Below are 8,879 nucleotides of genomic sequence, written 5' to 3' on the forward strand. Positions count from 1 at the left end.
AGGGTTTCACCATATTGGCCAGGTTGGTTTCACACTCCTGACCTCAAGTGATCCACCTGCCTCGGCCTCCCAAAGTGTGGGGATTACAGGTGTGAGCCACCACGCCCAGCCTGTTTCCTAGTCTTAAAAAAAAATTTAAAGGGCATCCATTTTTCTTCAGCTAATAATGTAAAAAAGGCTGCATTGACTGCTGGTTGTGGTGGCTCGCGCCTGTAATTCCAGCACTTTGGGAGGCCAAGGCAGGTGGATCACCTGAGGTCAGGAGTTTGAAACGAACCTTGCCAACATGGTGAAACCCCATCTGTACTAAAAATACAAAAAATTAGCCGGGCATGGTGGTGCGTGCTTGTAATCCCAGCTACTTGAGAGGCTGAGGCAGAAGAATCGCTTGAGCCCAGGAGGCGGAGGTTGTAGTGAGCTGAGATCACACCGTTGCACTCCAGTCTGGGTGACAGAGTGAGACTCTGCCTCAAAAAAAAAAAAAAAAAAAAGACTACATTGACATGGTTAAATTCCCAGGCCTCTCAGTTCTTTAGGGATAGACTAAAGGGCTGGTATCATCACTTACAAAAGGGTCTTTTTTTTTTTTTTTTTTTTTGAGACGCAGTTTCTCTCTTGTTGCCCAGGCTGGAGTGCAGTGGCGTGATCTCGGCTCACTGCAACCTCTGCCTCCCAGGTTCAAGTGATTCTCCTGCCACAGGCTCCCGAGTAGCTGGGATTACAGGCGTCCGCCACCACGCCCAGCTAATTTTTTGTATTTTTAGTAGAGATGGGGTTTCATCATGTTGGCCAGGCTGGTCTTGAACTCCTGACCTCAGGTGATCCACCAACCTCGGCCTCCCAAAGTGCTAGGATTACAGGTGTGAGCCACCATGCCCACCCCTACAAAAGTGTCTTGAACTTGATGGGGATTATGTTGAAAAATAAGGTTTATGTTTTTTTTTAATTTTTAATTTTTAATTCCATTTCCCACAAACTTTTCAAAGTCTTCTCATATTATCTGCCTTTTGGAGATGAGAAACTAAGGCACAGGTGGTTAAGGATGTTGCTCAAGGTTACACAGCTAGTAAAATGCAGACCAGATTTTGGACCCAGGAAATCTGGCTTCAGAGCCTCTGTGCTCAACCTATGTGCTGTACTAACTCTTGTGATGAGAAGGAAATATCAGTTGGGCACGGTGTCTCATGCCCGTAATTCCAGCAGTTTGGGAGGCCGAGGTGGGAGGATCTCTTGAGCCCAGGAGTTCAAGACCAGCCTTAGCAATATAGTGAGACGCTGTCTCTACACAAAATCAAAAACTGAGGCAGGAGGATTGCTTGAGCCCAGGAGATAGAGGCTGCAATGAGCCATGATCATGCTACTGCACTCCCACCTCGGTGACAGGGCAAGACCTTGCTTCAAAAAAAAAAAAGAAGTAAATATCTGTTGAAAAAATAAAGACATTGCTGCTACAACCAACCATCAACACAGCCTTTGTGCACATTTCTATGTGATGAATTGTAGCCAATATCAGTTTACTCTTCAACATATATAAAGAATGGGAACAAATAAGACTACTTTTATCTAGACTAATAAAGTCAATATCCTTAACTAATGGTTAGAAAAGATAACCGACCCCAGTTGGCTGCGATGGCTCACGCCTGTAATCCCAGCACTTTGGGACGTTGAGGCGGCTGGATCGTGAGGTCAGGAGATCGAGACCATCCTGGCTAATACGGTGAAACCCCGTCTCTACTAAAAATACACAGAAAATTAGCTGGGCGTGGTGGCGGGCGCCTGTAGTCCCAATTACTCGGGAAGCTGAGGCAGGGGAATGGCGTGAACCTGGGAGGCGGAGCTTGCAGTGAGCCGACATCACACCACTGCACTCCAGCCTGGGCGACAGAGCAAGACTCTGTCTCAAAAAAAAGAAAAGATAACCGCCCCCCTCAAAACAAACAAACAAGCAAACAAATAAAAAACCAGAGTATAAACTGTCCATTCAAAAAAGACTCTAGAGGCCGAGATGGGCATTTCACCTGAGGCCAGGGGTTTGAGACCAGCCTGGCCACCATGGTGAAACCCGGGCTCTACTAAAAACATAAAAATTAGCCAGGCGTGGTGGCACACACCTGTAGTTCCAGCTACACAGAAGGTTGAGGCACAAGAATTGCTTGAACCCGAGAGGGGGAGGCTGCAGTGAGCTATGATTACACCACTGCACTCCAGCCTGGGTGACAGAACGAGACTCTGTATCAAAAACAAAAACAAAAACAAACAAACAAACAAAAAACCCAGCAATGTTAAGGTATTGTGCTTAAAAACATAAATTATAAAAACAAAAGCTGGGAAAATAAGTTGCCTTAAAAAATGGCTGTTATTTTAGAGAGCAGTTTAGAAATATGTTTCACAAAATATTAAATATTTTTATCTCTTGACTCATGTATTAGTCAGAACTCCTCTGGTTGCAAGTGACAGAAATCCAACATAGACTATGAAAAAAAAATTACCTTAAAGAATTAATTGATCCTGGGCTGGGTGCCATGGTTCATGTCTGTAATCCCAGCATTTTGGGAGGCTGAGGTGGGTGGATCATTTGAGGTCAAGAGTTCAAGACCAGACTGGCCAACATGGTGAAGCCCCGTCTCTACTAAAAATACCAAAAAAAATCAGCTGGGCGGGGTGGTGCACACCTGTAGTCCCAACTACTCGGGAGGCTGAGACAGGAGAATCGCTTAAGCTCCAAGGCGGAGGTTGCAGTGAGCTGAGATTGCGCCACTGCACAACTCCTCCTTACAGAGGGAGACTCTGTGTAAAAAAATAAAATGAATAAGAATTGATCCTGGATCCAGGAGCTCAAAGCATGTGCCCAAGAAACTGAGGTTCTTGGCTCTCCCTGCCTCTGACTTTGTTTCCAGCAGTCATCCTCCCTCTCTTTGCTGGGGAAGACGCCCTGCCAGCTCCATGGCAACAGGAGCTGCATAGCTCTAGTCCTCAGAAGTCTCCCCGAGTCCACAGCCATCCAACAATCCCCTCAAAAGACTCTGAATAGAGGCCAGGTGTGGTGGCGCATGCCTGTAATCCCAGCACTTTGGGAGGCCAAGCCGGGTGAATCACTTGAGGTCAGGAGTTCAAGATCAGCCTGACTAACATGGTGAAACCCCATCTCTACTAAAACTACAAAAATCATCCAGGCTTGGTGATGAGCACCTGTAATCCCAGCAACTCAGGAGGCTGAGGTAGGAGAATTGCTTGAACCTGGGAGGTGGAGGTTGCAGTGAGCCAAGATTGTGCTACTGCAATCCAGCCTGGGCGACATGAGACTCTGTCTCAAAAAAAAAAAAAAAAAAAAAAAAAAAAAGACTCTGATAGAGCTGCCTAGGTCCTATGCCCATTCCTGAGCAACCTCATGTTCAAGGATGAAGTACTCTAACTGGCAAAGACAATGCCATGTGTAGACCAGAGGGTTTCATTTCTTCCTGGCTCGGGAGAAACTACATTCCCCAGGCACTCTCACATCTGGTGGAAGCATGTGACTAGTTCTGAACAATGAATGTGGCACAAGAGAGGCTTACGGCTTCTGAGCTGGATCCTAAAATGCACCCCGTTTCCCCCATCTTCCATGCTCTCTCTTTGCTTGTTCATGGTGGATGCATTCTCAGGTCTAATCAAGGGCTCCTAGGAAGCCCTAAAGAACACTGGAAGCGATAAAAGGAAGGAGCTTGGATTTCTGCTTAAAGGAAAGTCTTCTCATGTCCTCCCCCAACAACCTCCCAAAAAAACCCTCATTGAGCTGTGATATAACCAAGAAATAAACTTATTATTCTATTGAGCCACTGAGATTTGTAGTTAGTGGTTATCAATCTACTGTGAATAGATTAGTTCACATGCTCACTCCTGAGATAGGAGAGATGGGACTTTTGCTTTAAAACAAGGCATACTGGACAGGTGCGGTGGTTCATGCCTGTAATCCCAGCACTTTGGGAGGCCAAGGCTGGTGGATCACTTGAGGCTAGGAGTTCGAGACTAGCCTGGCCAACGTGATGAAACCCCATCTCTGCTACAAATACAAAAAATTAGCTGAGCATGTTGGCATGCACCTGTAGTCCCAGCTACTCGGGAGGCCGAGGCAGGAGAATCCCTTGAGGCCAGGAGGTAGAGGCTGCAGAGAGCTGAGATTGTGCCACTGCACTCCAGCCTGGGCAACACAGCAAAACTCCGTCTCAAAAATAAAACAAAAAGGCTGGGCGCAGTGGCTCATGCCTGTAATCCCAGCACTTTGGGAGGCCGAGGCGGGCGGATCATGAGGTCAGGAGATCGAGACCATCCTGGCTAACAAAGTGAAACCCCATCTCTACTAAAAATACAAAAAAATTAGCTGGGCATGGCAGTGTGCGCCTGTAGTCCCAGCTGCTGGGGAGGCTGAGGCAGGAGAATGGGGTGAACCTGGGAGGCGGCGCTTGCAGTGAGCCGAGATCGTGCCACTGCACTCCAGCCTGGGTGACAGAGCAAGACTCTGTCTCAAAAAAAAACCAAAATAAATAAAAAATAAAAAATAAGGCACACCAGAGCCATAAAGTGTAGGAGGGGCTGTTCCCAATGGAAAGACATGTGGGTCAGACAATAAAAGAGCAGATAAACAACCCACTTATCTTGAGTTTAGGAATCAGTCCAAAGGAAATAATCCAAAAGGAAACTAAATTATTTTAAATAAAGATGTTCATCGCAGAGCTATTTATAATAGCAACAGATTGGAAATGTCCCAAAAGCTCAAAACGTGGATGTGATAAAGCAAAGCACAGTTGATCAGTATAATGCACCCATGGATACATGGAACTGTGTATCAGAAACCTTGCTGAGTGACAGATGCTAAGCACAAAAGGATTTAGTCCTCTCCTTACCCCTTACAAAGGCGCTGGGGGTTGGGCCTCCTCTGGCAGCTGAATTGAGGAGTGGAATCCTCAGAACTGGGGGCCTGAATCAGGGAGTTCTCATTAGATCTGGAGGAGGAAACTGAGCCAGAAGTTGTTCAGCAAACTGGGCTTCACATTCATAAGAGACCCAGGAAGAGACATGGGATCAGGGTTTGGAACCAGGGAGAGAAGAGAAAACTTTGATCAGGTGAGGATCAAATTGGGAGGCAGGGAGGGTGCTTGGGCTGTCAGATGATGCTCAGGGCTGGCTTTTGAGGGTGGCTGGGCTGGCTAAGCAAAGGACCAGAACTGGGGCAGGAACCAAACCCTTCTAAGTCCTCCTCTGGGCAGGGCAGGGCAGGGCATCCCTTCACTCACCTGGTGAAATGCCTTTTTGTTTGTTTGTATGCTTTTTGAGATGGTGTCTCGGTCTGTCATCCAGAGAGAGTGCAATGGTGAGATCTGGGCTCACTGCAACCTCTACCATCTGGGTTCAAGTGATTCTCCTGCCTCAGCCTCCAGAGTAGCTGGGATCACAGGCGCATGCCACCACACTCAGCTAATTTTTTTTTTTTTTTGAGACGGAGTTTTGCTCTTGTTGCCCAGGCTGGAGTGCAATGGCGCGATCTGCTCACTGCAACCTCCGCCTCCCGGGTTCAAGCAATTCTCCTGCCTCAGCCTTCCTGAATAGCTGGGATTAGAGGCATGTGCCACCGCACCAGAATAATTTTGTATTTTTAGTAGAGACGGGGTTTCTCCATGTTGGTCAGGCTGGTCTCGAACTCCCAGCCTCAGATGATCTGCCCGCCTTGGCCTCCCAAAGTGCTGAGATTACAGGAGTGAGCCACTGCGCCCAGCCAATTTTTGTATTTTTAATAGAGACAGGGTTTCACCATGTTTGCCAGGCTAGTCTCGAACTCCTGACCTGAGGTGAGCCATCTGCCTCACCCTCTCAAAGTGCTGGGATTACAGGCGTGTGCCACTGTGCCTGGCCTGAAATATCTGTTTTGAGACAGGATCTCACTTTGTCACCCAGGCTGGAGTGCAGTGATGCGATCTCGGCTCACTGCAACCTCCACCTCCCGGGTTCACATGATTCTCTTGCCTCAGCCTCCCGAGTAGCTGGGATTACAGGTGCATGCCATCTCACTAACTTTTTATTTTTTATTTTTGTAGAGACGGGGTTTCACCATGTTGGCCAGGCTGGTCTTGAACTCCTGATCTCAAGTGATCTGCCTGCTTCAGCCTCCCAAAGTGCTGGGATTACAGGTATGAGCCACCGCACCTGGCCTAAAAGCTTCTCAGATGATTCTGATCTGCATCCCTTAGGTGCAAGCACTTAAGGTCCTAGCCGTTTGCTTATACGGTGGTTGATGATTTAGAAGGTACAAGGAATGGAGGCCATGGCTGATGTGTCAGTGTGTTTTAGACACGGGAATGTAGTGAACTCTATGCAAATTTTGCAGAATAAAGGCGGGTGGTGTCCTGTGTTTCCCAGTGGTCAGGAAGCAGAGCGTTCTCTAGAACTTAATTGACGCATTTCACCAGGCACCAGGTGGAAAGGTCCAGTACGGGGGATGAAACGTGACATCTTAGGATACTCCCTCCTGTACCATGATGGTGTGATGGTCACAGGCATGGAGAGGGCCCAGAGAGGGTATAGTAGCCTTTAGGACCATTGCTGTCTATCCTTATCCAGTGTACCTATAACTCAAGAACTGATGAATTTGGGAGACAATCTCTAGACCACAGGGCCACCAAAAGTTCCATGGGCCCATGTTTAGGATTTTGAAGGACGCCCAGTGGCATACTGAGTAGTGTCCTCCCCAGTCCCAGCACTGATGCGCAGTTTCCTACTGCCAGGACATTGATGGCTATACTGGTGGAGGAGGAACCTGTGCATTTTTCTTATTTTTTTATTTTTTAGATGGAGTCTCACTCTGTTGCCAGGCTGGAGTGCAGTGGCGCGATCTTGGCTCACTGCAACCTCTGCCTCCCAGGTTCAAGCAATTCTCTTGCCTCAGCCTCCTGAGTAGCTGGGTCTACAGGTGCATGCCACCATGCCCAGCTAATTTTTGTATTTTTAGTAGGGACAGGGTTTCACCATGTTGGTCAGGCTGGTCTCGATCTCTTGACCTCGTGATCTGCCTGCCTTGGCCTCCCAAAGTGCTGGGATTACAGGTGTGAGCCACCGCACCCAGCCGATCCTGTGCATTTTTTTAGCTTTGAGCAGGCTTGGATCTCAGCCAACTGGATGATGGCCTTGCAGAACTGTTTAGACTCACAGCAACAGAGCCGGCATGCCTGCAGAGTTCCCAGGCCACGGTGCTTTGGATGCGGGACTTCTCTGCCATCCCCTGCCATTGTGGTCTTGCTGGCAGGATATCTACCAAACAGTTTAGGCTGCTCAGCTCACAAATACGGGAAGCAAACTCTTTGAAGACTGCGAGGAGGCATGAGCTGAACCAAGTGTGCTCCAAGCACTCCTAGCTGTCAGGTAATGGGGAATGCCCCCCTTGAAGGCCACTTAGATCACTAGCAATGCTGTCTTCTTCACCATGAGGTCACTGACGTTAATCATCCAGTTTTCTTGCTGTGGAGTCACAGGAGAGTAAGTCATTTAGGCTGAAGACTTTTTTGTGTGTCCTTCTCCTGCCAGCTTGAGAAAGCTAGGGACTTCTTTTTTGTTTTTTGAGGCGGACTCTCGCTCTGTCGCCCAGGCTGGAGTGCAGTGGCGTGATCTCAGCTCACTGCAAGCTCTGCCTCCCGGGTTCACGCCATTCTCCTGCCTCAGCCTCCCAAGTAGCTGGGACTACAGGCGCTCGCCACCACGCCCGGCTAATTTTTGTACTTTTAATAGAGACAGGGTTTCACCATGTTAGCCAGGATGGTCTCAATCTCCTGACCTCGTGATCCGCCCGCCTCTGCCTCCCAAAGTGCTGGGATTACAGGCGTGAGCCACTGCTCCCCGGCCAGGCTGGGGACTTCTTGATACAAGCTGGATGAGCTTGCCTTGAGGATATGAGGCTAGGCTGACTTTAGGGAAGTCAGTTTTTGGAAAGAGTTCTCAATCTCTGAAACAAAGCACACAGTGAAGCTGGTAGCAAAGAAATCCATTTTTGTTTGTTTTTTTTTTAGAGACATCGTCTCATTCTGTCACCCGGGCTGGAATACAGTGCTTGATCATAGCTCAGTATAACCCTGAAGTCCTGGGCTCAAGTGATCCTCCTCCTTCAGCCTCCCCAGTAGCTGGGACCACAGGTGTGCACCACCACGTCCAGCTAATTTTTTTATTTCTATAGAAACAGGGTCTCGCTGTGTTGCTCAGGCTGGCCTCAAACTCCTGGGCTCAAGTGATCCTCCCGCCTTGGCCTCCCAAAGTGCTGGGATTACAGGCATGCGCCATTGCACCCGGCGAATCCTAGATTCTAGAATTGCTTGGGGTAAGGGGTCTCCTAATCCAGGAACCCAGACCCTTTGCTCTGCTTGAGAACGCACTGTCTGAACTGAACATAACCCACGTCAGTCCGGCTCACAAAACTACACTTATGGGGATTGGCCTGGAGGTGGCGCCCCTGTTGTTGGTCTAGAAATGCTGGCCAGAGGCTCAGGCCAGTCTGGCAAATGGATAAGAACATCACCCAATGGAAGAGGATGTCACAGCTCAGAAGGCTGGGCTGCACGCTTTATCAGCCCCTGGAAGAGAGCAGGGGCACTGCCCAAGCCTGAAAACATTGCACTTCCTTAAACTGCTCAACACTTATCTTGACATCTGTGGGTTTTTTTGTTTGTTTGTTTTTTGTTTTTAGATATGTCTCACTCTGTCACCCAGGCTGGAATACAGTGGCACGATCTCTGTTCACTGCAACCTCCACCTCCTGGGTTCAATCGATTCTCCTGTCTTGGCCTCCCAAGTAGCTGGGATTACAGGCATCCACCACCATGCCCGGCTAATTTTTGTATTTTTAGTAGAGACGGGGTTTCACC

The sequence above is a fragment of the Homo sapiens genome, chromosome 17 (assembly GCF_000001405.40).
Source record: "Homo sapiens chromosome 17, GRCh38.p14 Primary Assembly".
In the NCBI taxonomy this organism is placed as follows: Eukaryota; Metazoa; Chordata; class Mammalia; order Primates; family Hominidae; genus Homo; species Homo sapiens.